General features: G+C 48.3%; 3 protein-coding genes and 1 non-coding gene across 10 annotated transcripts in view, besides 2 other annotated features; 2 read left to right on the top strand and 2 right to left on the bottom strand.

Annotated features, from left to right (window-relative positions):
• Nucleotides 1-13,553, bottom strand: part of EIF4E2 (eukaryotic translation initiation factor 4E family member 2) — a 32,956-nt gene extending 19,403 nt beyond the window's left edge. For 3 of the 7 annotated variants that reach the window (NM_001282958.2, NM_001276336.2, NM_004846.4), the window contains exons 1-3: nucleotides 13,498-13,553; nucleotides 7,712-7,826; nucleotides 6,224-6,358 (exon numbers count right to left, since the gene is read on the bottom strand). In NM_001282958.2, coding sequence (NP_001269887.1) covers nucleotides 6,224-6,358; nucleotides 7,712-7,826; nucleotides 13,498-13,517 — 270 coding nt within the window. In that variant the 5' untranslated portion in view covers nucleotides 13,518-13,553. Of the gene's footprint in view, nucleotides 1-6,223; nucleotides 6,359-7,711; nucleotides 7,827-13,023; nucleotides 13,176-13,497 lie in introns of those variants that run through there. The other 4 variants (NM_001330203.2, NM_001276337.2, NM_001330201.2 and 1 more) reach the window with 2 other exon arrangements.
• Nucleotides 13,173-13,542: a silencer, noted in NCBI's record as "silent region_12460". NCBI's record gives its function as "represses an Ori minimal core promoter by ATAC-STARR-seq in GM12878 lymphoblastoid cells {active_cell/tissue: GM12878}" and the evidence as "EXISTENCE:reporter gene assay evidence [ECO:0000049][PMID:35858748]".
• On the top strand, nucleotides 13,669-13,768 carry MIR5001 (microRNA 5001). The gene has a single exon (NR_049797.1). It is a non-coding gene; the product is annotated as a microRNA 5001 (primary transcript).
• TIGD1 (tigger transposable element derived 1) lies at nucleotides 13,685-20,359 on the top strand. Its single transcript, NM_145702.4, has one exon. The coding sequence runs from the start codon at nucleotides 14,360-14,362 to the stop codon at nucleotides 16,133-16,135; it is 1,776 nt and encodes a 591-aa protein (NP_663748.1). The 5' UTR covers nucleotides 13,685-14,359; the 3' UTR covers nucleotides 16,136-20,359.
• Nucleotides 16,127-24,550, bottom strand: CHRNG (cholinergic receptor nicotinic gamma subunit). The gene is made up of 12 exons (NM_005199.5): nucleotides 24,440-24,550; nucleotides 24,111-24,250; nucleotides 23,817-23,861; nucleotides 23,531-23,640; nucleotides 22,713-22,868; nucleotides 21,722-21,819; nucleotides 21,160-21,360; nucleotides 20,853-20,967; nucleotides 20,543-20,657; nucleotides 19,662-19,875; nucleotides 19,340-19,470; nucleotides 16,127-18,699 (listed from the first exon to the last, which is right to left on the bottom strand). Exons 1-12 carry the CDS (start codon nucleotides 24,492-24,494, stop codon nucleotides 18,526-18,528), a joined length of 1,554 nt encoding a protein of 517 aa, NP_005190.4. The 5' UTR covers nucleotides 24,495-24,550; the 3' UTR covers nucleotides 16,127-18,525.
• Nucleotides 22,669-22,728: an enhancer, noted in NCBI's record as "active region_17323". NCBI's record gives its function as "activates an Ori minimal core promoter by ATAC-STARR-seq in GM12878 lymphoblastoid cells {active_cell/tissue: GM12878}" and the evidence as "EXISTENCE:reporter gene assay evidence [ECO:0000049][PMID:35858748]".

Below are 27,512 nucleotides of genomic sequence, written 5' to 3'. Positions count from 1 at the left end.
GAGAGAAGACCCCAGAGTAAAAAACATGTGTCTTTTACTTTTCTTTGAATGCATCCCAAGGTTGAGATTTAGTTAAGAACATAAGCATGGAAGACACTATACTACAGGCTGTCCTTTTCAGAGGACTCATTTTCATGTGTGGTGTTGTGAGGGAAGACATATTAGAGGAAAAACATACCATCTAGTTTGACAAAATAAAAAATGTAACATTCGCAATTCAAGAATAAAATCTTTGGTGAGAAATGCAAGCCTCAGCCAGGAGCTTTAGTTGGTGAAACCATGTTAATACGCACTCTCCCACTCAAGCTGCAGGGTAGTCATCACATGCAGTAAGAGGACCAGGTTTTTGCACAATGGAAACTCTTTAGCCTTGAGGTATGTAAGTGTCACACAGCCTCAGCCTGAATGCATTTTTTAGAACCAAATCACTTACCGATGAAAGATTGTTTAACTGGCAAATATAGCATTTGCTGAATGAAATACCTCTTAGACCTGTTTAGTTAGTAAGCATAAGTGATAGAATCAACCACATGTAAATACCTCTTAGACCTGTTTAGTTACTAAGCGTAAGTGATAGAATCAACCACATGTACCACACATACCACTCTACATCATGGTGCTGTTGCTAAGTCCAGGCCAATCCAAAATCATACAGGACTTAGCTTCTCATAGCTAGGGTTTAAGGCCCTCTTCTTAGCTAGAAAAATTATGTTTCTCCTTGCCGCTCCTTCACAATCCCGTGAGAAAACTAGATTTATATTTTTCCATCAAGTATATGCTTATTTGTATTCATCACAGTAGTCCTGTTTTTCTCATTAGTGTCACCCCCCCTCCCCTTAAAAAAAAAGAAAAAAAAAAGAGACAGGGTCTACGCAGCAGTATGATCATAGCTCATCACAGCCTCTAACTCCTGGTGTCAAGGGATCCTCCCATCTCAGCCTCCCAAGTAGCTGGGACTACAGGTTCACTAGTGTCTTGATAGGAAAGATTATTTCCTTATTCACAGAGGATACGTAGTAAGTACTGGCCAGTGAAGAGGCACACTTTAGGAGGAAAGAGAAAACACGGAACATTCCAATGAGAAATAGCTGGTATCTGCTAAACTGCTGAGCAGGCTCTAAATCAACATACAGCAAGATACCACAACTGTGGAGCTGACAATGGGTATCGAGTAGACAAAGATTCAGGTCATACTTCTAGATATGGGGAGCACCTAAGGAGAAATCAGCCTTACACTGCGTGAAATGGCTGTCCCTTTAGTTCCTCTCTAGCACAAGCACACGTGATGCATCTTACATGGTAAAAAGAAGTCAGAACTAACGCCATCTATAGGGCTTCAAGGCAGTGCTTTATACTCAGCAACTGCTAAGCTTAGCTGCATGTAGTGACTCGGAATAGTAAATGGTCATATGAATACAATCGGCAATAATGTAAACCTTTATCCACCCTAACATAGTTGAATAAAACCACATATACCCACTAGAACCAAGTACACCCACTAGTGGCTCATTGTGAATAAGGAACTGAAAGGGGCTTGGTGAGGACAAAGTATGTCAACCATCTCCAGTTCCCCAGTCAATAATCGCTTTAACAGTTTGGTCTCCCCAATCTTACAACTACACTGCACAATCTTTTTTTTGTTTGTTTTTTTGAGATGGAGTTTCGCTCTTTTTGTCCAGGCTGGAGTGCAATGGTGCAGCCTGCCTCAGCTCACTGCAACCTCTGCCTTCTGGGTTCAAGTGATTCTCCTGCCTCAGCCTCCCGAGTAGCTGGGACTACAGGCACACACCACCACGCCTGGCTAATTTTTGTATTTTTAGTAGATGGGGTTTCACCATTCACCATGTTAGCCAGGCTGGTCTCGAACTCCTGACCTCAGGTGATCCACCTGCCTTGGCCTTCCAAAGTGTTGTGATTACAGGCGTGAGCCACCGCGCCCAGCCCCACTGCACAATCTTATATGCAAACCATAAGAGAGATGAAGTTAAACAGCTCGAGACTATCATTCATTCATTCATTCATCATTTGAGATGGGGTCTTGCTCTGTTACCCAGGCTGGAGTGCAGCAGTGTGATCATGGCTCACTGCAGCCTCGACTTCCCAGGCTCAAGCAATCCTCCTGCCTCAGCCTCCTGAGTAGCTGGGACCACAAGTGGGCACCACCATGCCCAGCTATTTTTTTACTTTTTTTGTAGAGATGAAGTCTAACACTGTTGCCAGGCTGGTCTTGAAGTCCTGGATTCAAGTGATCCTCCCTCCTTGGCCTCCCTGAGTGCTGGGACTACAGGCATTAGCTACTGTGCCTGGCCTGAGAAATATTATTAAACTTTAAAAGATTTGACAGTTCTAATTGAAACCAAAAAAAAAAATAAGCATTCACAGACTCAGAATATGAGGTGCCGAAAGGACCTCAGAAATCATGTCAGCAACTTGTTTTATAGTTGAGAAAGGTTTCAGGACTGAGTTGCTCTAACCAAGAGGGTCAAGCATCAGAATAGGTGAGCTCTGATTACCAAGTCTAGTGCTCTTTCCATTTCAAGATGATGCCTTCCTAGTCACTCTGACTTCAAGAACTTTTAAATGTTGTTAATGATTAGGCTAAGAATCACTGGGAAACACTGCTTTCAATTTGATAAAAGGATTCATAATGTAATTATTTATCTGTGATGCATTTAATATTGTGAGCCATTTCCTAGTGACCTGAATTACACAACAGACTTTATTTCTATTTTTCAGGTCCAGACCTACAGAGTCAAAATGACAGACTTTAAATACTGTCACACATCCAGTGAGCATGGATGAAGCCTTAACCCAAGATAGTCCTGATGATAAACCACTCCTTAACATATACACTGAAACAAAAGAAAAACCCTCCTCGTACAATTTGGGTAAATTCTTATATGCTTTTTTTTTTCACAAGAGGGAAATAAAAATGCAAGAAGTATGCATAATTACTCCAAAAAAATCTTTTTTTGAGATAAGATCTCACTATGTTGCCCAGGCTGGTTTTGAACTCCTGGCTTCAAGCGATCCTCCCACCTTGGCCTCCCGAAGTGCTGGGATTACAGGCATGAGCTACCAGGCCTGGCCAAATTCTTTAAAATCAATCTTAAACCCATCTCTTCCAAGGCAGTATTCCCCAAACTGGAATCAATTCCTTCTTTCCTCCAAACTCCAAGAGCACTCTAAATGCCTTTCCCATAGTATCACTTACTGTCTTCCCTGTATTAGAAATTCCTGGGCACATCTTATTTCCCCAAGGACAGGATCTGTGCCTTCATTCCTTTTAGAAGCCTACTAGAGCCTTGAATTCATTCAACAAGCATTTATTGAACCAAATATGAACCAGTGCACAAGGTAGTTTATTATTACAAAACCCCTAAGTTTGCTGATTCTAAGATAGCACTGGCAAACTAAACAAGATCTTTGCTTTAGGCTGAAATTTTATCAGCTCAGCATAGTAATGATGTTGATTTCATATTAAGCAGATTATAACTGAGTTGTAAGAGTATTCTAGATACAAGTATTAGATATGATTTGCAATATTTTCTCCCATTTTGTAGGCTATCTTTTCACTTTCTTGATAGCGTCCTTTGAAGCAGAAAAGTTTTGAATTTTGATGAAATCCTATACAGATGGGGTCTCACTATGTTGCCCAGGCTGGTCTCAAACTCTTGAGATCAAGTCATCCTCCTGCCTTGGCCTCCCAAAGTACAAGGATTACAGGCGTGAGCCACCACGCCCAGCCAAGTATTTAATCTTTTGCTGCTTGTGCGTTTAGTGTGTTACTTAAGAAGGCTTTGCCTAACCTAAGGTCATTAGGATTTACTAATATTTTCTTCTAAGAATTTTATAATTTTAGCTCTTACATTTAGGTCTATGATCCATTTTTAGTTACTTTTTGTGTATGGTGTCAGGAAGGAATGCAAATTCATTCTTCTGCACCTGGAAATCCAGTTGTCTCAGCAATGTTTGTTGAAAAGACGATTCTTTCCCCGGTTATTGTCTTGGTACCTTACATTACTGGTTTATTATAAACAAAGGATACGATGAAGAGATGCGTAGGGCAAGGTATGGGGGAAGGTATGGAGGAAGGTTCAGGGAGCTTCTATGTCCCCTCTAGGCGCACCACCCTCCAGGCACCTCCATGTGTTCAGCTATCTGGAAGCTTCTGTACCTGAGTTTCAATTATACTGGCTCCTCGACTTAATCCAGTGAATTATGACTGACTCGAGAATTTAAAAATTTTTTTAGACAGGATCTATCTCTGTTGCCCAGGCTAGAGTGCAGTGGCACAAAAAAGGCTCACTGTAGTCTTAACCTCCTAGGCTCAACTGATCCTCCTGCCTCAGCCTCCTGAGTAGTTGGGACCACAGGTGCATGCCAACATGGCCAGCCTTTTTTTTTTTTTTTTTTTAATGCTCCCGTTTTCTCCAAGCCAGCTAATTTTAAACTTTTTTTGTAGAGGCAGGGTCTCATCACGTTGCCTAGGCTGGTCTCAAACTCCTGGGCTCAAACAATCTTCCCACCTCAGCCTCCCCAAGTGGTGGGATTACAGGCATGAGCCACCGTGCCCCACCATAACTTGAGACTTTAGATCAGACACTTAACCCAAGTTTTACTTTCCTCATTTGTAAAACATGGATAATATCACTGACCTCATAGGGCTATCATAATGTTGGAAGGAAATTATACAAATAAAGTATGTATTATATGTCCTTCCTCCTTAGCAGTTTGTTGTAGTATTTCCTACTGGAGTATTCTTTTCTAGTTTCTGCATTTTATTTTATTTTTTTATTTTTTTCAAACCAAAGCACTTTAAAAAAAAGTAATATGCAAGACTGTTGGAGAAAACCGTGATTGTTACTGAACAGATGAGACACTTTGAGAAAAGATAAACAATTATTCATTTTTGTTTAAGACATCAGGAGTACTAATAAAGAACCAACTGGTAAACTGCTGATAATTCCATATAATATATCTAGCATACAACTACACTGAATCATTCTTTTTTTTTTTTTTATACTTTAAGTTTTAGGGTACATGTGCACATTGTGCAGGTTAGTTACATATGTATACATGTGCCATGCTGGTGCGCTGCACCCACTAACTCGTCATCTAGCATTAGGTATATCTCCCAATGCTATCCCTCCCCGCTCCCCCGTAGTTTCTGCATTTTAAACAGGACTAATACTTCACCAATTTCAAGAAAATGACAAACCCCACATTTGATTCTGCCCAGAGATTGAATGTACAGCACACACTGGGTACATAATAACCTTTGTTCAACTAGAGTGGTGTTAGTTGCAGATGGATTCTTGGGGTACACAAACCAAGTCACCTGGGAGAGAGATGAGACAGTCTGGGCTCTCTGACTGCCAGTACCCACAAAAGCAATTATTAGAGATTTCATTTTCTTTCTGAACACAGGAAAAAGATATTTTATGCATAATCATTAATACAGCCAAAACCCTAATGGGAGGTTCTTAAATACAAAACTTTCAAAATTTTTCACTTTACTGTCAAACTTCATGAAGATAGACACCATGTATTATAAACTTCTGTATCCATGACACTTTGAACTTAGTAAGGACTCCATAAATATATACTTAAAAAAAAAAACAAACAAGCAAACAAAACAAACAAAAAAAAAAACAGGGCCAGGTGCAGCGGCTCACTCCTGTAATCCAGCCTTTTGGGAGGCCAAGGCGGGTGGATTACCTAAGGTCAGGAGTTCCAGACCAGCCTGGCCAACATGGTGGAACCCCGTTTCTACTAAAAATACAAAAATTAGCTGGGCGTGGTGGCACATGCCTGTAATCTCAGCTACTTGGGAGGCTGAGGCAGAAGAATTGCTTGAACCCAGGAAGCGGAGGTTGCAATGAGCTGAGATGATACCACTGCATTCCAGCCTGGGAGACAGAGCAAGAGACTCTGTCTCAATTAAAAAATAAAAATAAAAATAAAAAAACCCAAATCTGTTCTTTTGTATTATGCCCTTCTGATCAACTCTACAATTCTCATATTTGTTGATACCTACATGCTAACCATGGATATCTAGTGAGAAACCTAAGAATGAACAAATCTGACTCCGGAGACTCAGGTCAGTCAATTAAGAAAACCAGAATCTTAAATAGGTTACTAGGAAAGTAAATAAACATCATATCAATACAGGCATGAACGAACTATCAAGGCACACTCCATTAATTCACCAAGAACTCACAGAGGCAAAGGTGCCAATCTGTTTGATATTCTGTTCATAGCTCTGTGAGCTCGTGGGACGGCCGGGGGTTCTCCTGGAGTACCAAAAAGTGTAGTTGTACTGCAGGGGATGCTCTGCCGGTCCAGGGACAACAGCCTGGGAAGTAAAGAAGGTGTGTTAGTCCTGGGCATTTGTCACGTGGTCTGAGACTGAGAGAACATTTTGCAGTGTCAATCCTTACCACCTCCACAATTAAAAAAGGATATACAACCTCAACTATCTGCAATGTGCCAAAGATTCTGCTTACACAGTACATTTCCTCAGTGGTTAACTGATTCTAAATTCCTGAAACACTTTACCTGTGTTCTTATGGCCTTTGTAACTTTCTCCCTCATATAATAGGTATTCATCTTTGTATCTTATCTCAGCATATGCCCAGTCCAAGCACTGCCTCCTCTATGAGATTCATCACTGTCAAGTTACTTAACCTGTTTGTGCCTCATCTTCTTACCTGCAAAATGAGGAAAATTGTAACAACCATCTCACAATACTGCTGAGAGGATCAAATGAATCAGTGGATATACAATGCTGAGCACAGTGCCTGGCACAGAGTACGTGCACAACAGATGTCAGTATTATTATTGGTACTATTAAACGTAAGCCCCTTCCACAGTCTCATTCACCTTTGTGTCCTCTTAGCATCTAGCATAAAATGCTAGTAACCCTTGGAGGGTTACTCAATATTGTAGAATAAATGAATTAGTGATTGCTTTGATATTTCTTTGTTTGTTTTTTTGAAACGGAGTCTCACTCTGTTGCCAGGCTGGAGTGCAGTGGCGCGACCTCGGCTCACTGCAACCTCTGCCTCCTGGGTTCAAGCGATTCTCCTGCCTCAGCCTCCCCAGTAGCTGGGACTTCAGGCACGCGCCACAGCATCCAGCTAATTTTTGTATTTTTAGTAGAGATGGGGTTTTACCATGTTGGCCAGGATGGTCTCGATCTCTTGACCTAGTGATCCACCCACCTTGGCCTTCCAAAGTGCTAGGATTACAGGCATGAGCCATGGCACCCAGCCTGCTTTGATATTTCAAGGAAAAAATTGATCTCTCTCTCTCTCTCATTCCCTAAGTTTTCCCTTTTCCAAGTCACTTTCACCTTAGACTATTGCTGACTAAACTGTCTACAATTTCAAGGGGTATGTAGGATTTGAAACACTCAGCAGTGGCTTATGAAGCAGCTAACAGCCTTGTTAAGCTCCAGGACTAATCTCCATCTCAGGCTAGGAGAACGTTGAAAGCAAGGCAGCATCTCAAGATTCTGTGGCAAGAGAAAAGTTCTAGGTCTGAAAATGAACATCAATGATTGCACAATGTTTTTCTGAGAACAAAGTCAGATATTCCAACACAGGATGCCATCAAGTTAATCTGGTATCTTCCAGATAAACAGATTCCACAAGATAATAAAAGTCTCAAGTTCAAAGGCAACTACATCTGTGCAGCCAACACTCACCTTTCTCTTGCTACTGCTCTGATTCTTGTCTCGTTCCGTTTTTTCCTTCTCACCATCTTTCTGTGTGCTGTTTTCTTCATTCTGATCATGGTCCCCACTGTCATCATCTTTCAAACTGAATGGAAAGGCAACACAATACAATTCTGTGACGAAGTCAATTCTTGCTTACCTAACAAAGCCACCAGGTCATACGAACTACTATGTAACCAACCCAAAGTCACTCAAATTCAGGCCCTGAGATGTAAGAAGGGCAAAATAACACAGACAGGCAAATTAGGATTAAACAAAAACGAAACACCCATCAGCTAACTTGTGAACTCCACAAAGCACTGTCTTTCAGTTTTCTAAAAAGCCACACAAAGAACCAGTTAAAGGGAATGTTTAAGGTATACAGTTTAAGGGATTGTTTTCCCTGCCAAAAATGGAGTAAAAAATGAGAAGAGTCTCTAATGCTATGGCATTTCAAATGAAGGTTAAAAACGTACTATCTGCTTTGCCACTTCTCCTTACCACCTCTTCTACACTCACTGTCACTACTTTAGTTTAGGCCCTCTTCTCCTGACACGTCAATCATATAATAAATTCCTGGTCTTCCTGACACAAATCTCTCACTCTCTATCCATCCTTTCACTAGCATTATCTTTTTAAGTGCAAATCTGACATTTAACTTGCATGCTTTAAACTTTCAACTGTCCCTCGCTTTTTGATGCCTACCCTCTAAGATAAAGTACAGCAAAATGTAAGATCCTCTAGAATCTGACTCCTGCCAGCCAGGATCCTCCTCCTCTAGCAATCTATGTTGCCGTATCGGTGCCATTTGCAAACACCACCCCTTCGGTCTGTCACACCATTCCTCCCATGTCTGCTTTCCCTACTAGAGAGAGAGTTCCCTTAGAGCAGTGTCTTATTTCATCTCGGTATCTCCAGCACCCAGGGCAAGATGTTGCCTTAACATGCGGCACTAGAAGATGCTGAATAAATGGTAAACCAAAAGGAAAAATAAATGACTGAAAGAAAGAATAAATGTGTTCTTGCTTCATAAGCACAGAGTCAAACGAACTTTAGGGATTACCCTTTCATGAGCAGTGAAACTACCCCAAGGCTTTCAGGTACACCTAAAATCACCGGATCCAGACAAAAAGATAAATGGAAGGTGAGTTTGCAAAGACAATAAGAAAGCCATTTATTTTAGGGCTGGACCATTAATTCATCACAGATCTTCTCTCCAATCATCTTTCTCGCCCCAATAACTATATGTGTGGTCAAACGAAATTAGGCAGTTCTCAAGAATGGTACTAGAAATGCTCCAGTTATAATTCAGATACTACCCTATGCTGACACATAAACATGTTGCAGGGTACTTTGTATTTGTGGTCTGGTTTTTTTTGCCCACGAATCCCCAGTGCCTAGTACATTAAAAGTATCCAATAAATATTAGAATGAATGAGCTAGTCACATGTTGGGGTGCCTGCTCTGCCCATTTCACAGCCCTAGCTGTAGGATATACCCAGGAGGTTATGCCCTGTGCCATGAACCTTCCCATCCCTACCCTGGTCAAGACACAACTAGGAAGTGCACCTGACCAAAGGGTAGTCCAGCCTGGGCAATAACCTATGCCCCAGAGCCTTGCTCAAAAATATGAGCAGATTCCTCCCCTCAGCATTTCATCCAGGAGATGAAAGATCATAGACTCAGGAGCTGGGGCAGCCATATGGGCCCCATGCAAGAAAAGCCCTGAGAGAATTAAGACAATGAGCAAAAGCAGAGAAAGCCAGTATGAGATAAGAGAATGGAGCAGATGAGCAGAGAAAATGGAGGGGAGTTTCATTTTGTTGCTAATGCTAACATCTCTCTGGTTTTATTCAGCCTCCCTGGACTTCCAGGAGACCATCATCTGTACTTATGATATTCCCTTCCCCTTTATTAAACTTCCCCTTTATTAAACATTTGGTTTCCTTTTCAAAAGGAGCCTGTCTAGCACACAAGATCTACAGATTAAAAATTACCAACATCTACCAAGCATCTATGGTGTGTATGAGCTACCAGAGTGCTTGTCCCCAAGAACCTAGCTGAGGAGAAAAGGTACACAGATATACCCACGCCTCAGCATGGTGCAAAGGCCCCTGCTCTGCTCACATGTCCCAATATCATCTCCTTCCTGGTCCCAACAAACTCTTTTCACTCCAGTTGTATCACCCTAATTTTGGTGCCCCCATTTTATCCTTCTGTTATGCTCATCATGTGGTCTCTCCTCAAGAAGTCCTTCTTTGCCTAGTTAACTTGTCCTACAGGACTCAGATTGAGGGCCACTTTCTCTTGGCAACATTTCCTAACCTCTTCCAACCTAGGCTGAGTTGGGGTCTCCTCTTCTGAACTTGCCCATATAAATGTTTGTACTTGTTCCAGCTATACTCTCATGGCCAGTTCTGTCTCCTGATCAAAAACATCTCAAAGGTTCTTCTGCTTAGGCCCAGGACAACTCTCTTCTTCAGGGCACACCCTTGGGATGCAAACCCTTTTCCTCCCTTCTTAGCTTCCAACTCCCACTATAGCCTCTGGGGTCCCTTGCATTTAGATCTTGGTTGAAGAGGGGTACAGTCATCCCAGCATCTTGTTTTTGCTAGACCCAAGAAAAGTATATACCTTCCTTTCTTTTTAGTGGTTTGCTGCTGATCACTACCAGGAAACAAAAATAATTGTCAGAGAAGAAACAATGCTCCTGTGATCCCTGGACCACTTAGGGCTCCTTTCTAAGACAGTAAATGGGAACCCTAATGGACCTATATCTGGTGCTTTTATTACCTGAGAGTGGAACTAACCAACCACTCTGCCCTCTAAGCCTACATTTAAGGCAAATCTTACAAGCTACTCTTCCCAGCTTCAAGCTGGATTTGAGTCAAGATACAACTCAGACTGAAAAATCAGTGCTCCCTAAACTCAGGCAGTTAGCAACTCTGAGACTGTCCAGACTGAGAGGCACTTTAGTTAGCTTGCTAAGCTTCTGCCCACGTATTTCCTCACCCTCTGAACTAGACCAATACCTTGTGGGCAGGACCTTGGTTCAATTCATCTTTATACCCTCACCATCAGACAGTGGCATAAAAAAAAATCTCCGTTTAATGAATGGGTCTATAGAATCAAAGCAATGAGTGCCAAATAAGTGGTTTAGACAATAGTTAGGAATGGGCCCAAAGTTAACGATATAGAATAAAAAGCAAATGATGTAGAATACGGACAAAATCAAGTACAGTTGTGTAGATCTGAAAACTATGTTTAAGTCAGGACTGCAGTTTTTGTGAAAGCATCTTACGGTTTTACGTTATCAATAGGATCAATGGCAATGAGATCTAAGGACTTGATAGGTCTACCCCTTCTCCACAAAAGCAATTACAATCAAAGGTTTCATTCAGAGAAGTTGAGTCCATACAGTAACGGAGATTAGAGCTAATCTTTAATATGAGCCCATTAGATTATATACTACTGTACTCAGCTCCAGCCACTGGACATCTGGAAGGATTCTGGCAAACTGGAACATGTCCTTAAGAGCAATGTGGTAAAAAGTGCAGATTACTAGAGAGAGCAATGTGGTAAAGACTCCAAATATGCAGCAATGGCCTAAACACCGCAGAATTTCTGAATGAAAAACAACATAAAAAAATAAAACTAGGGGCAGGAGTGCTGTTTTCAACTGCTAATTTCAAATGAAAGAAAGCTTGTTTTTCTTTTTTTTTCCTGCAATGCTAGAGGGCAGATGTTAAAAGATTCTGGCTCAATACAATAGTTAATAATTCAAAGTAATTAAAATGACCCAGGTTCTTCAATCGTAGAAGAGGTAAGAAAAAAAAAGAGGGCAAGTTTAATTTTTCTCAAGAGGTGCTTGAACCAAGGTTACACAACAAACCTGGGATAGCCCTTCCTTTGTGTCGGGAATTAGTTAACCTCAGAGTCTCACTTTCCTCATCTGTAAAAGGAGACAACAAGATCCCCTTCACAGAATTGTTAGAGTAGAAATAACATATGAGGCTGGGGGTGGTGGCTCATGCCTGTAATCCCAGCACTTTAGGAGGCAAGGTGGGTGGATCTCTTGAGCCCGAGTTCGAGATCGGCCTGGGCAACATGGCGAAACCCCGTCTCTACAAAAAATACAAAAAAATTAGCAAGGTAGGGTGGCACATGCCTGTAGTCCGGCTACTCTGGAGGCTGAGATGGGAGGATTGCTGGTGCCCGGGAGGTTGAGTGGGCAGTGAGCTGTGATGACACCACTGCACTCCAGCCAGGGTGACACAGCGAGACCCTGTCTCAAAAAATATATATATATATGAAAAATACCTAGCAAGATCCCTGTGGAAGTCCATTATTACCATTCTTACTGCAGACTCCCAAATGATTTGGGTAGGCTTGAGCTAGATGACCCATAAGATGTCTTCTTAGGATGACATTTGATTTGTTCAAATCAGTGGAGGAAGGGGTATAAGGGTTCCAGAAAGCTCCACTGAGGCAGGATTTGGATCTGGAGCTAGTTGTTGCAGGGTTTACAATAGAGATGAAATGGGGCGGCAGCGGGGGAGAGGTTCGTAGAGGGACAGGCTCAGTTAAACAGCAGGATAGAGAAGAGGTCGGGCAAAGACTTTCTCAAGTAGCAGAGACCTCTCAGCAACCAGAAAACATTCCTGAGGACCTACCTGCCTGGAGTGTTGGAAATCCAGTATTCCCTGAATTTGCACAGTACTCTCTGTATTGGAAACACCCCAATTTCCCATCAAAAGCACCAGGTCACAACCTAAACTAATAGTAATTCCACTTTACGTTTATATCGCAATAGTTAGCAATGTTCACAAGCATCTTTAAGCATCGCTGAGTGTGATCTGACCCTTATCACACCCCGGCGTGGCAGCAGGGTCCTAGCCACTAATGTGGTTTGAGCAACAATGGCTTAGAGGCTGGGTAACTTTTCTACAGTCAAACAGATGGTAAGTGGTGAATCTGGGACTAGAAATCCAGGTTTTCGGATGAAGAGACAGTCGATTTACTAGACTACTAGAAGAGAGGAAGGAACATATTCTACCTCAAGATACAATCCTTGGAGGGGGATAAGTAAAGATACTTCTGCATTTTCTCTCTGTACCTCCAAACTGTTTGATGCTGAAACTAGAAACCGGAGCGGGCAGGAGAGGGCAACAAGTATACTTAGGTCTTGGCGAGTGTGTTGGAAGACGGGAACGGGAAGGGGAGGAGAAAGAAAGTAGGAAGAGTCTCAGGAAGATAATTCCTAAGCCAGCCTTCCACCGCGTCGAGGGCAGCAACCACATTACCTCATTGCATCCTCCAAACTCTACGACAAAGGGTGTTACCGTCCCCACTCTGCAGATGAGAAAACTGAGGCTCAGAGGGGAGAGGGAGTGTGTGGGGAAAGCTGGATTCAGAGGCAGCGCTGCCAGACTGCGGAAACACCCAAACCGCCGAGGTCCCCACCCCTCCACGTCGCAGGCAATCCGCATCCACCAGGGCGGGGCGTCCGAAAATCTCCCCCTACCGGGCGGCACAGCCACCCCTCCCCCGGGCCCAGCTCTTCGCCCTCGGTTCGGACGGCCCTGGGGTCTCCGGGACTCCGGTATCCATTGCTCCCCAGCCCCCTCCTCCCCGCCAGTCCAGGCCAGGTCCGGCCGCAGCCGGATCCCAGCAGGGAAGCCGGTGCCGCAGGGTTTGCGCCGCCCCAGCCCCAGCGGGGGCGGGCGCGGGGGAACTGTTCGGGGAAGGGGCCCCGGGGGCGGCCACGAGCCACTCACGCGTCGAACTTGTTGTTCATCCTCTCGCCGCCGCTGTCGCCACTGCCTCAGGGAGTGACTTCCGCTCCACCGGGTCCCTCAGCCTTGGGCCCGGGTACTTCCGGTTTTGCGCGGGGCGCAGCGGAACGTCGGCGCGCAGGCCCGGTTTGGAAGCGGCTATCTCGGGACGCCAGCTCAGGGCGGCTGCGCAGAGGGCTGGACTCAGCGGCGGAGCTGGCTGCTGGCCTCAGTTCTGCCTCTGTCCAGGTCCTTGTGACCCGCCCGCTCTCCTAAGGGAGCGTGTCCTGGCCCCCTCCCGCAGCGGCTCGGAAAAAAGGCAGCACCGCGTCGTTGACGGCGCGGGCTCTGGACTCGCTGCTTGGTAAAAACCTTCCTCTTCCTCCAGTGCGGGACGCACTCTCTGGTATCTCTTTTGACCTCCCGGAGGCTTTCCTTTGTCGGTCGCGGCGCCACTGTACTATGGCATACCTCGTTTTATTACGCTTCGCAGATAGGGCATTCTGAAAACAAATGGAGGGTTTGTGGCAGCCCTGAGTCCAGCAATTGTATCAGCGCCATTTTTCCAACAGCATGTGCTCACTTGGTGTCTCTGTGTTACATTTTGGTAATTCTCAAAATATTTAAAACTTTTTCATGATTTCTGTGTCTGTTATGGTGATCTATGATCAGTGATCTTTGATGTTGCTATTGTCATTGTTTTGGGGTGCCACATACAGCGTCTTTTATAAGACGTGGAACTTAATGTTGTGTGTGTTCTGACCGCTCCACCCACAGACCGTTCCCCATCTCTCTCCCTCTTCTTGGGCCTCCCTATTCCCTGAGACACAACAATATTGAGATTAGGCGAATTAATGACTCTGCAATGGCCTCTAAGTGCTCAAGTGAAAGGAAGAGTCGCACATCTCTCACTTTAAATCAAAAACTAGAAATGATTAAACTGAGTGAGGAAGGTATGTCAAAAGCCGAGATAGGCCGAAGGCTAGGCCTCCTGCGGCAAACAGTTAGCCAAGTTGTAAATGCAAAGGAAAAGTTCTTGAAGGAAGTTAAAAGTGCTACTCCAATGAACACACGAATGATAAGAAAGCGAAACAGCCTTATTGCTGATATGGAGAAGGTTTTAGTGGTCTGGATAGAAGATCAGACCAGCCGCAACATTCCCTTAAGCCAAAGCCTAATCCAGAACAAAGCCCTAACTCTCTTCAACTCTATGAAAGCTGAGAGAGGTGTGGAAGCTGCAGAAGAAAAGTTTGAAGCTAGCAGAGGTTGGTTCATGAGGTTTAAGGAAAGAAGCCATTTCCATAACATAAAAGCACAAGGTGAAGCAGCAAGTGCTGATGTAGAAGCTGCAGCAAGTTATCCAGAAGCTTTAGCTAAGATCATTGACGAAGGTGGCTACACTAAACAACAGATTTTCAATGTAGATGAAACAGCCTTCTATTGGAAGAAGATGCCATCTAGAACTTTCATAGCTAGAGAGGAGAAGTCAGTGCCTGGCTTCAAAGCTTCAAAGGACAGGCTGACTCTCTTGTTAGGGGCTAATGCAGCTGGTGACTTTAAGTTGAAGCCAATGCTTATTTACCATTCTGAAAATCCTAGGGCCCTTAAGAATTATACTAAATCTACTCTACCCGTGCTATATAAATGGAACAGCAAAGCCCGGATGACAGCACATCTGTTTACAGCGTGGTTTACTGAATATTTTAAACCCACTGTTGAGACCTACTGCTCAGAAAAGAAGATTCCTTTCAAAATATTACTGCTCATTGACAATGCCCCTAGTCATCCAAGAGCTCTGATGGAGATATACGAGGAGATTAATGTTATTTTCATGCCTGCTAACACAACATCCATTCTGCAGCCCATGGATCAAGGGGTAATTTCGACCTTCAAGTCTTATTATTTGAGAAATACATTTCATAAGGCTCTAGCTGCCATGGATAGTGATGTCTCTGATGGATCTGGGCAAAGCAAATTGAAAACCTTCTGGAAAGGATTCACCATTTTAGATGCCATTAAAAACATTCGTGATTCATGGGAGGAGGTCAAATTGTCAACATTAACAGGAGTTTGGAAGAAGTTGATTCCCACCCTCATTGATGACTATGAGGGGTTCAAGACTTCAGTGGAGGAAGTAAGTGCAGATGTGGTGGAAATAGCAAAAGAACTAGAATTAGAAGTAGAGCCTGAAGATGTAACTGAATTGCTGCAATCTCATGATAAAACTTTAACAGATGAGGAGTTGTTTCTTATGGATGCGCAAAGAAAGTGGTTTCTTGAGATGGAATCTACACCTGGTGAAGATGCTGTGAACATTGTTGAAATGACAACAAAGGATTTAGAATATTACATAAACTTAGTTGATAAAGCAGCAGCAGGGTTTGAGAGGATTGACTCCAATTTTGAAAGAAGCTCTACTGTGGGCAAAATGCTATCAAACAGCATCGCATGCTACAGAGAAATCTTTCATGAAAGGAAGAGTCAACTCATGCGAAAAGCTTCACCGATGTCTTATTTTAGGAAATTGCCACAGCCACCCCAACCTTCAGCAGCCACCACCCTGACCAGTCAGCAACCATCAACCTCGAGGCAAGACCCTCCACCAGCAAAAAGAGTACGACTCACCGAAGGCTCAGATTGATAATCAGCATTTTTTAGCAATAAAGTATTTTTAAATTTAGGTATGTATATTGTTTTATTAGACAATGCTATTGCACTCTTGCTGGTCTACAGTATAGTGTAAACATAACTTTTATATGCATTGGGAAACCAAAAACATTCATGTGACTTGCTTTCTTGTGTTGGTCTGGAACTGAACCTGCAATGTCTTTGAGGTATGCCTCGACCTACCTCCTTAGGTTGCTGTATGGATCCCATGAGACAGTAACTTATAGTAATGGCAGCTAATGTTAACATTTGAGTGTTTATTGTGTACAAGGAGCTAATCCTCTGCCCTCTGAGGCTTTCAGAGAGGTTGAGAGACTTGTGCCAGATACACAACTAGTAAGGGGCTGGTGGGAACCGGAAATGGCCCCACTGTCATCAGATTCCCTCCCTGATTGAAGTTCTCCCCCACTCTCCCTAACTCCTCTAGTTCTCTATAGCTCTGACTCTGCTCTTGCTTCAAACACACTGTGCATGCACAGACACAGACTCACACTGGAGTAAATAATACGAACTTGCTGGTGATTGAATCCCAAAGACAGCAATCCTGTGCTTGGAGGGAGGGCATATTTCCAAGGTCCCCTCCTGCCAGCATATCCTGTCGTCAGGCCTTTATGTGGCACTTTCACTTTTCTTTTTTCAGTTTTGTAATTTTTTTATTTTTTTTGAGACAGGGTCTTACTGTGTCATCAGGCTGGAGTGCAGTCACATGATCACAGCTCACTGCAGCCTAGACCTCCTGGGCTCAAGCGATCCTCCCACCTCAGCCTCCCGAGTAACTGGGACTACAGGCATGCATCACCACGCCCAGCTAAGTTTTGTATTTTTTGGTAGAGGCCGGGTGTCCCCATGTTGCCCAGGCTGGGTTCCTGGGTTCGTGGGCTCCTGAGCTCAAGCAGTCCACCCACCTTGTCCTCCCAAGGTGCTGGGATTGCAGGTGTGAGCCACCACACCTGGCCAGGAATGGATTATTTTTTGCACCTTATTTACAGATGAGGGAACAGCCTCAGGGAGCATAGGTGACTTGCCCAAGGGTGTCCCCTGGTTACCAGCCAAACTCGTGTGCCGGCTGTAATCTCAGAGCAGGACCTTGCCTCTCCCCCAGGAAGACCCCAGCCTTACTACCTGATTAGTGGGGTCAAGGGAGGCCAGTCAAAGTCTCCTCCTGGAATGAAGAGCTCAGTGGCTCTCTGTTAACTCCACACCTCCTCTTGCCTAGCTCTTCCTTGTCTTAACCATCCTTTGGGAAGAAGGGCCTGTTTTTCAGGCCGTAGAATCTTAGAGTGTCAGATTGGGTCAGAGTCAGGAATTCTGGACTTCAAACCTTGTTTAACCACCACTGTTGTGTGGAGTCCCGCTTACTCTAGGCTCAATTTGCCTATATAACATGGGGAATAATGACTCTTGCTTATCCATACTGCTGTGAGGAGCTCTTAATTAAAAAGGAGGCCAGGTACAGTGGCTTATGCCTGTAATCCCAAGACTCAAGTGGGAGGATCACTTGAGCTCAGGAGTTCAAGACCAACCTAGGCAACATAGCAAAACCTCATCTCTACTAAAAATTTAAAAGTAGCTGGGTGTAGTGGTGCATGCCTGTGGTGCCAGCTACTTGGGAGGCTGAGGCAGGAGCATTGCTTGAGCCCTGGAGGTTGAGGCTGCAGTGAGCCATGATCATGCCACTCCACTCCAACTTGCATGACAAGAGTGAGGCTCTATCTCAAAACTAAACAAAACAACAACAACACATCAAAAACTAAAAAAAAAAAAAAAAAAAAGAGGATTACAAAACTCAGGAAATCGTCTTGTGGTCAGTGGCAGAAAAATGCACATGAATGGAAAGGCCACTGGGGCTGTTGAGAATTGGGTGCTTATTGTACCCAGAAGGCACGGGGGGGAGATGCCAGCTGGTATGGGCTGCTGCCCTGCTTTGGAGAGAGCATCGGCTGCTACTCTTCACACCTCTTGTGACTGCCCTCTTTCAGGGAGAACTTGTAAAAGGGGAGCCAGTCCCAAGTCCGAAGGTATTATACAAAACAGTCCTTCGGGCTTCAGACTGATGGGAATGAATAATGCTTTGCCTAAGTGAGGGGAGTGCACTGAGTGGAGGGGTGGCTGGTGCCAGGATGAGCTAGCCAATCCCACGTGTGTGCTGACTGCAGCAGGACACTAGCCACGGCCCACCCCCAACCACTCTCGGACTCCAGCTCAGACTGTTTCCCCAGCTTTTCTCAGGGCTGTTTGGCTCACACAGTCCTGAAGGGCACTTCCCAAAGAGCACACTTAGGACCTCAGTAGGAGAACGTGGCTGATAAGACTCAGTGTGACCCACGTGTGTGACTCCCACATGCCCCACAGTGGTTGGTTGGCTCAGTCTGGTGAGGGCAGGTAGGGGCGTGGATCTCCAGGGAATGGCAGGGCCGGCACCCGGTTGTAGTGGGCCATGAGGAAGATGCCAGCTGTGCCACAGATGAAGAGCGAGAGCATGGCCAGGAAGCAGACGCGGTCCAGCACTCGGCCCACCAGGAACCACTCCTCATTCCCCTGAGGGTGGGAGGCAGGTGTGGGATAACCAGCGGCGGCACCAGGTCTTCCCTGGGTCCTGTTCTCATCCTTGGGCTTCCAGCAGGCCCATGTCTCCATTTCCTGGGGCCCTTCTTACCTATGTCCGGGTCCCAACTGGTGGCTAATTCCATGGCCCCCTGGCCCTGAGGTGCCCCCCCTGCCCCTGTTCCTTTTTCTTTCTTTCTTTCCTTTTTTTTTTTTTTGAGACGGAGTCTCACGTCTCACTCTTTCACCCAGGCCAGAGTGCAGTGGTGCGATCTTGGCTTGGCTCACTGCAACCTCCGCCTCCCAGGTTCAAGCAATTCTCCTGCCTCAGCCTCCTGAGTAGCTGGGAATACAGGTGCCCGCCACCACACCCAGCTAATTTTTGGTATTTTTGGTATTTTTGGTAGAGATAGGGTTTTGCCATGTTGGCCAGGCTGGTCTCAAACTCCTGACCTCAGGTGATCCACTCGCCTCGGCCTCCCAAAGTACTGGGATTACAGGTGTGACCCACTGCACCCGGCCTCATGTTTTTCCATCCCACTGCCCTATCTTGGCAACCCCACTCATCCTGTCTCTATCACGGTTCCAAGCCCAGGTACTCACTCCACCTCCACCCCACCCTGACTCAGCTTACATTGTCAAAGTGACTCTGCTGGTGCCGGGCACAGGCAATGAGGTTGCAGGCTTCCACACAGGCCTGGATGGCTGGGGCAGCCTGCTTCAGGCTGCCACAGAACTGGCTCAGCCCTAACTCCGGGCCTTTCTCTGATAAAGAGAAAGGGTAAGGTTTGGGAGTAGAATGGAGGAGAAACAGGCAGAGAAGATGGCCTCTCCTTAGGGACCCCAGCTCCTCTCTCCCTGACCTGGGCACTTCTCCAGCACTCATCTGCTGTGCCTGGCTCCCCAGCTGGGGTCCCAGGGGAGGACTGTCCCCAGGCACACCTGGTGTGTCTCACCTAGCTTCTCCAGCGCTGCCGCCACCAGCCCTTGCCGCTGCCACTGCTGGAAGAGGAGTTCACTGCGAGGCAGGCAGAGGGCCACCTCCTCCCCAGTTGTGATCGACCATCCCGAGGAGCCATTCTGTAGCCGGGACTGGGTGTCCTGCACAGCTGCCGGGGCCAGCGGGCGAACGTGCATCCTCAGCAGCTGGGGCAAGAGCCTCAGGAACACCTAGAGAGGGGGTGGCTTCACTAGGGCAGCAGGCCGAGCTTCAGAGCAGAAGCCAGAGGTTGGCGTGAAGGGCTTGTGCTGCTAGGGACCATGGAGGCAGCATACCGGGGCAGTGACGTGGCCTTGGTAAAGCTTTCTATACTGGACACGAGCCTGGGTCCCCAAACTTCAGTGCACATCAGAATCACCAGGGCACTTGTTATAAACACAGATTCCTGCCCCCAGCCCTCATGCTATTCTGGCCTAGAATGCCTGGGACAGGCCTGGGAATCTGCATGTGCAACAAGGGCCCAAGCTGAAGGCTGCAGGTGGGCTACAGATCACACAGACTGGAATCAGACTGCCCTGGCAGACTCCTGCTTTTTCGACTTTGTAGTGCACTTCCTTGGGCAGGTTACTTAACCTCTCTGCGCCTCAACGTCCTCATCTGTAATTGGAGGTGATATGGGTTTTATGAAGATGAAATACATTAACATTTGTAATATCCCGGGCACCTAGGAAGCAATTTCATTCCTGTATTACTGTAATCGATTTTGGTCCATGCGTCCAGATACGCCCAGGATGGGTGTGCTGTGGAATGCCACAGGTGAGTACTGCCGGGGCGTGCGAGAGGGAGGCGTAGGGGAGTGGGCAGCGGGATGTTGAAGTGGGCAGGGAGGGTCCTTGCCTTGCGGACCCCTCGGGCCATGGAGTGTGTGTGTGGAGACCGCAAGGAGACATTGAGCACAACCACAGCATTCACGACAATGAGGATGGTCACCACCAGGAGGAAGGTCAGGTACCTGTCAGGGTGGGGTGGGCAGGAGCTGGCAGCCCATACCATGATGCCACCCCCACGCTTAGTGGCTGCCCCCCCTCAGGCCTCCTGAATTGAGGATGGGGGGGGTGGATGGAGGGCAAGAGGGCAATGCAGGAGGCCATCATGCTCCCAAGAAGGGAGAGTGGCATAGGCGGGTGGACATGAAGACCAGCCTTACTTGCTGATGAGTGGCACCGCCTGGGAGGTTTCAGGCACCTTCTTGGCCACAAGGAAGAGGAAGACAGTCTGGGCCAGGAGCACGTTGATGGCGACGGTACACTTCTGGCCCCCAGCTATCCATGACCGAGAGGCTCTCAGAGCAGGTTCCTACCTCCCCCACCCACAGAGGAACCCCTTACCCCAGAAGTAGCCCGCTGCCTCTGTCCTGGGTCGTAATGCCACTCTGTTCCCCAGGCAGGGCCCACCCCGGCCTCCCAGGTGTCCCCTGTGCTACTGGATGGCTCCTTCCCATAGGCTCCAGGTACCCTTGGCAGGAAGGAAGTGGATGAGGATGGCGACAGAGGAGATGAGCACACAGGGGGCGATGATGTTGATGACGTAGAAGAGGGGCTTGCGCTGGATGAGCAGGTAGAACACCACCTTCTGGTGGCCTGCTTCCTGGGCTGGCGCCGCTGGGTCCAGGAGCATCTTGGCTGGTCGGTGCTGGATGGCCCACTCCCCATTCTCTGCGGGCAGGCAGGCAGGCAGGAGTGGGCACAAGAAGCGTGAGCTAGGCAGATCCCTGCAGCCGAGTGACCCAGCTGCAAGGGCAGCATGTGCCCTAAGGAGCACCAGCAGGGGAGGCACCCTTGAGGGACAGAAGTGGGGTGGGAGATTGGATGCTCGAGCCTCTTCTAAAATTGGAGACATTATCATGAGGAAAGTCAGAGCTTTGTTGGACGTTTTAAAAAGCATATTTTATGGTTTGCTGTAGTTTTCATTTTGAGTTACATGGGAGGGATTTGACCTTGGTCCAGCCTTGACCACAGCTGGGTCCAGCAGGAGCCCTGGATGAGGCTGCCTGGGGAGCCCTTGGGTGGGGGTTACCTGTGAAGGCCTCAGGGTCAATGAAAATCCACTCGATGGTCTGGCCATCTTCCTGACTCAGCTGCAGATCAATCTCATTGGTGCTGTAAGTCTGGGACCTGGGAGTCACCGAGGAAAGAGGCTAAATGTGAGCGGGTGGACCTGCCACGACTGCATGGGGATGACCTTCTGGGGACAAGTGTGGGCAGCTTTTCTTCAACAAAATGCAGCCCCACGCTTCTGAGTTCTCTATAAAACCCCACTGGCGAGATATGGAGAGCAGGAGGACCTAGGGCTCTTTGGGGTCAGGAAGATGGAGTTGAAGGCCCAGGAGGCTGCAGGGCCCTCACCTGGCTGATGGGCCCAGGGTCACTCTGCATTTGTCTCTCCCACTGCTGTCTGGCAGGAGGGGCTGATGATGGCAATGTAGAAAACACATGCCTACCTCAGGAGGACCCCCGTGTCTACAGAGGGGAGTCTCCCTGCCAGGTTTGCTCATGGAAAGACTGCTCCTCTAAGGTACAGGAGAACCCTCCCCCGGGCCCTCCTCCCCACACTTAGGTTTGAGGAAACAGACCCAGAGACCCCCAGGGGTGGCTTGGTTGCATACATGCTTCCGCTGGATTCCCTGCCAGGGCCCCTCTCTCACAGGACAGCCCTGCCTCCCTGTGGGCCTGGAGTGTGCAGTGGTTTCGTGTGTGCGCAGACACGCATCTTGTGTGCATGTGTGCCTTCTCACCCACGCACCCCAGGCGTGAATGTCTCCCCTTGGAGCACAGGTGAGGAAACTGAGGCAGTAAAGGATGAGTGAGGGGACTCGGGCTTAGCAGGGAGAGCTTGGGCACCTTCAGGTGTCTTAGCCTGAGATGGGCACAGAGGCCCAGGGGAGATGGAGCCAGGCCTCTAGGTGCTGCCAGAGCCAAGGCCAGAAGCCTTGCCCAGGCCTTACCCCACCACTGCCCAGGCCCCTCTGAGAGCAGCTCTCTTAATCCTCCCCAATAAATGGCCTCACTGGAAGATAAGGGAGCAGTTCTGCCAGTCGAAGGGGAAGTAGGTGACTGAGATAGAGCAGGCGGAACGGAAGATGGCAGGCGGCAGCCAGTAGATACAGCCGTCAGGGGACACGAGCACATTGCAGTAGAGGGCCACCTCGAAGACACCGTCCACGCTGTATGCACAGAACAGGCCAGGCCACGAGGCTGTGGGCTCAGCCCCCGACACCCCAGCCCCAGACCAGCCCCTGTGCCCCATGTGGATAGGGGCCTGGGGACACCAGTCCCTACCAGCCTGTCACCCCCTGACTGGTTCCCACCCGGACCACTAGGTCCCCCCAGCAATCCTCCTGCCACCCCCCGCCCCAGACAGACTTCCTCAGGCACCACCTCCTAATTTCTGCTTATCTTACTCTCTCTTGTTTTAATCATAATAATAATAATAATAATAATAGTCATAATAGCGACTAATGTGTTAAGCCCACACCATGTGCCAGCCCCCGAGTGATGCACTTTTCATGCCTGTCTTGTTGACTCTCGCCAGCTTCTATAGGACCCGTCAGCGGCCCCATGTTACAGGGAAGGGAGCAGCCCACCCAGGTGGCCCAGCCCAGAGGAGATGGAGCCTGGCGTAGGGTCTGCTCTGCTGGCCCTGGGGTCAGAGGGCATACCCAGGGCCCTGCCCTCGGCACCTGCTCCATCCAGTTCTTCCCTAGCCCCACAGGTGCCCGATTTGCACCCTCTGCTCATCTTTCTCTTTTCCCAGAGTGCCTTGTTCTGCTGGGCCCAGACCCTGTGTCCTTTGTCCCCCACACCCCTGCCTGCACCCCCTCCTCACTTGTTCTCCAGCACGATATCCGGCCGCCACACCATGGTGGACGGCACCCTCAGCACCCACAGGCCTTCGTAGTCTCGCGGATCCCAGCGCAGGCGATAGTCGCACCACTGCTGCAGGGGGAGGGGCAGTTGCTAGGCCTCTGCCCTCTGCTGCACCACAGCCCTAGGAGTGGGCATCCAGCCCAAGAGGACAGAAGAGGCAGGAACGGGGCAGGCAACTCTCAGGAGGCCTTGGGGTGGTGGGGTGGGACCCCTGATGGAAGGAGGGTGGCAGGGTGGCCTCTTACCATCTCTATCCAGACATTGGTGGTGAGGGCTTCCTCTCGCTCGTTCTGGGGGTGCAAGGGTGTAGTATGGAGGGCTCAGCCCCCGACTTCAGTGCCAGTCCCCACAGGCCACCAATGGGGCCAAGCATCCCCCAGCCTCTTGATAGTACTCCCCCCACAACCATGGGGGTTTTCCAGACCCCAGCCTGTCCGATTTAGGGCCCTCCAACCTCTTGGTGGCTGGAGCCACCCCATGCTATCCCCAGCAGGTCCCAGGGCGTGGTGCGCTGACCCCTCCTCCGTCCTGCGGCTTACCAGGGAGATGAGGTTGGTGAGGGTTAGCTTCAGGCTGACATTGACCACATCCGAGTCTCGTTCCGCGGGCCGCAGGTTGGGGTCGTAGTTTTGCATCAGGTCTGCGAGCAGGCGCTCCTCCTGGTTCCGGCCCTGGGCCCCTGCAATAGACAGGCGTGAGCCTAGCAGGAGCTTGGAGGTGGAAAGAGCGGGGAGGCCCTGGGGGTGTGAAGTGGGGACTCAGGGAACTGGGTCCAGGGCAGGCCCCAATACCCCTCAGACCCTCCATCCCCTGAGGCTGTGGACCCCAGCTCTGGGACTCCCCAGGCTGAGATTCCTTTGTGTCCCACCCAGGCAGACAGCCAGCAGCAGCAGGAGGAGCAGCGGCCCCTGGCCCCCATGCATGGTGCCTCAGCTCTCTGCAGTGACAGGGGTGGGACAACAGCTCCAAGGTCTGGGGCAGAGAGAGATGGGCTCTGGGTGTCATATAACAGCCTACACTCCCACCCCAGCCAGCCCAGCCAGCCCGGCCAGCCTGGCCCAGCCCCACCAGCTGTCTGACCACAGCGTTGTCAGCTGTTCCAGGATGGACACAATGCTGGGCTCAGGTTACCTGGGCTGGAGAGGGGAGACAGGGGCCCCGTCTGCCCCAAAAGAGACATCCACCTTCCAGCCCCAACTCGGGCTCAGTTGTCCCAGCCTCACCTCCATGTTCCACATGGGGGGCAAGGACAGCCAGGGCCAGCTGGGTGTGGTAGGGAAGGCAGGTCGCCGAGGAACCTGACAGCGGCTCCAGAGAGGGCTGAGGTGGACTGCCTCCTACTCCCTCCAGGGAGTCAGGATTTGGGTGGGTGTGAAGGCTGTTGGGTAGGCATGTGAGGGTTTTTGTGTTTGTTTGTTTGTTTGTTTTTTGCTGGAGTGCAGTGGTGCGATCTTGGCTCACTACAACCTCCACCTTGATTCTTCTACTTCAGCCTTCTGAGTAGCTGGGACTACTGGCATGCGCCAACACGCCTGGCTAATTTTTCTTCTTCTTCTTCTTTTTTCTTTTTTGTATTTTTAGTAGAGACGGGGTTTCACCATGTTGGCCAGGCCAGTCTTGGAACTCCTGAACTCAAGTGATCCACCCATCTTGGCCTGCCACTGGGCATCCCCCTCACTGGGCATCCCCCTCACTCGGCCTCCCCCTCACTCGGCATCCCCCTCACTCAGCATCCCTCTCCCTGAACTTCCCCCTCGCTGACCTTCCCCCTCACTGGGCTTCCCTTTCCCTGAGCTTCCTCCTCCCAGAGCTTCCCCCTCCCTGAGCTTCTCCCTCCCTAAGCTTCCCCCTCACTGGGCTTCCCTTTCCCTGAGCTTCCTCCTCTCTGAGCTTCCTCCTCCCTGAGCTTCCCCCTTCCTGAGCTTCCCCCTCCCTGGGCATCCCCCCCACTGAGCTTCTCTCTGTGTGGCCCACTTTTCCTGGAATTTACAAAGCCCTCGTTTCCTTCTCACTTCTGAGAGCCTTGCCTTTCCATTTTGCCCTCTGGTCCCCCTAGATGCAGTTTTCTTATCCTCTTTTGCAGACCAGTTTCTCTCCACCTCTTTACTCTCCTCCATGCCCACATTTTACCAAATTCAATGGCCTCCATGATCAGGAAGCACTGCCAAACAGTGGACCACCTGTCCCTGCATCCCCTACCCTCCACCCTCCTGTTTTCTCCCTTTCTCTGCTCTGGGAGAGATGGCCTAGAAGCCTTCTTGGTGTTCTCCGAAGGGTAAATCATCAATGAGGAATGGAAGTTTCTTGCAGGGGTTACGTGTGCAGGGACAGGACCCATTCAGAGAAAATCATCTGTAGAATTGTCTAACACTACTTCTCCTTTGCCACCCTCTGTTATAATGGCTGGTAGAGCAAGATACTCATTTCCTAGTCTCCCTTCAGATAGGCTAGCCATGTGATGTTTTGACCTGCGGGATGTCTACTGGAGCTTTATGGAAAAGTTGTTTTTTTTTTTTTCTTTGAGTTGGAGTTTCACTCTTGTCGCCAAGGCTGGAGTACAATGACTTGATCTCGGCTCACTGCAACCTCTGCCTCCTGGGTTCAAGCGATTCTCTTGCCTCAGCCGCCTGAGTAGCTGGGATTACAGGCGGGCGCCACCAAGCCCATCTAATTTTTGTATTTTTAGTAGAGAGGGGGTTTCACCATGTTCGTCAGGCTGGTCTTGAACTCTTGACCTTAGGTGATCCAGCCGCCTCAGCCTCCCAAAGTGCTGTGATTACAGGCGTGAGCCACTGTGCCCGGCCTATGGAAAAGTTTTGCTTCTTGATGAAAGGGGTCAGAAATGGCTGGCCCTTTTCTGCCTGAACATAGGTGCTAAGTGTGCAGCTGTGGCTGTCAGCTCACAAACTGGGGCCAACAGGTCTGAGGACAGAAGCCAACTTGCCATGGAGGCAGGGCTGGGCAGATGGCAAAATGCCTGGGTCCCTGATAGCTTTGTTAGACAGCCGAGCCAACATGATCACCTCCGCCTCCCTATTATTACTATGTGAGAAAAAGGAAACCTTATGTGTTTAAGCTACAATTCCTTCAGCTTTCTGTTCCTTGCAGGCCAGTGTATTACTGATTCACTGTCCATTGAAAGAGAGAGGGTAGCCCTGTTGGTCTGGAGAGAGTAAGGAACACTCTCTGGCTTCCCGGAAAGCTGTGCCTGTGAGCATGGCTTCCTGGGGACAGAAGATGGAGTTCTATGTCAGTCAGAGTGGACCAGTCCTGACAGCACCACCGTGCTGGGGGAGTGGGTGCCTCTGGTGGAAACTGTGGTGACCCTGGGAGCCTGTGCAGGAGGCACCCCCCCGGTTTTGTGTGACATTTTGGGGTTGTCTTCTCTGGAAGTCCACAGCCACTTGAGCAGGGCCTAATAGAACTGAGGACTCACCTGGTGGTTGAACCAAGACCTGCTGCCAGCAGCGCCACCATGAGGCAGAGAGAAGCAAAGACTGTGGCTGAGGGCCCTAGACTCTCTGTGCACAAGACGGACCCTCCCTGAGTTGATGGGCTATTCCTGGGGAAGTCTCAGATTTCCTGCTCACCTGACAGGTGTGAGAACAAACTGGCTTTCCTATTTAGACAGGACAATTAAAGATTTGTACCTTGAATTTTGTGAATAGTTCATGCTGGAAGGCAGAAGTTACTAGGGTCAGTTTTGGTTTTAAATGGTTTTTCTTTTTCCTTGGTTACATCTAAACATTAAAAATCTCACCTTCTGTATATCTGAGTTAATGAGGTCACCAATTCCCCCCTGAGGGAAATGGGTTAAATCACCACCCATTAAATGTGCAGGTCACATGAAAATGCTCCTACTAGAAATTCAATTTTCACAACACCCCATGACTAGGACTTACTAGACACACATTTTGCAGATTAGAAGATGGAAGGTGAGG

This window comes from Homo sapiens, chromosome 2 (genome assembly GCF_000001405.40).
Source record: "Homo sapiens chromosome 2, GRCh38.p14 Primary Assembly".
NCBI classification, from domain to species: domain Eukaryota; kingdom Metazoa; phylum Chordata; class Mammalia; order Primates; family Hominidae; genus Homo; species Homo sapiens.
The sequence above is the reverse complement of the archived record's forward strand: the minus strand, read 5'-3'. Positions and strand labels throughout refer to the sequence as shown.

Coding starts and splice junctions, on each gene's coding strand:
- TIGD1 (NM_145702.4), top strand. CDS start 14,360: ATGGCCTCTAAGTGCTCAAGTGAAAGGAAGAGTCGCACATCTCTCACT.
- CHRNG (NM_005199.5), bottom strand. CDS start 24,494: ATGCATGGGGGCCAGGGGCCGCTGCTCCTCCTGCTGCTGCTGGCTGTC. Junction 20,968..21,159: donor CCACTTCCTTCCTGCCAAGG/GTACCTGGAGCC, acceptor GGTCATGGATAG/CTGGGGGCCAGAAGTGTACC. Junction 19,471..19,661: donor GGCAGCGCTGGAGAAGCTAG/GTGAGACACACC, acceptor TCTCTTTATCAG/AGAAAGGCCCGGAGTTAGGG.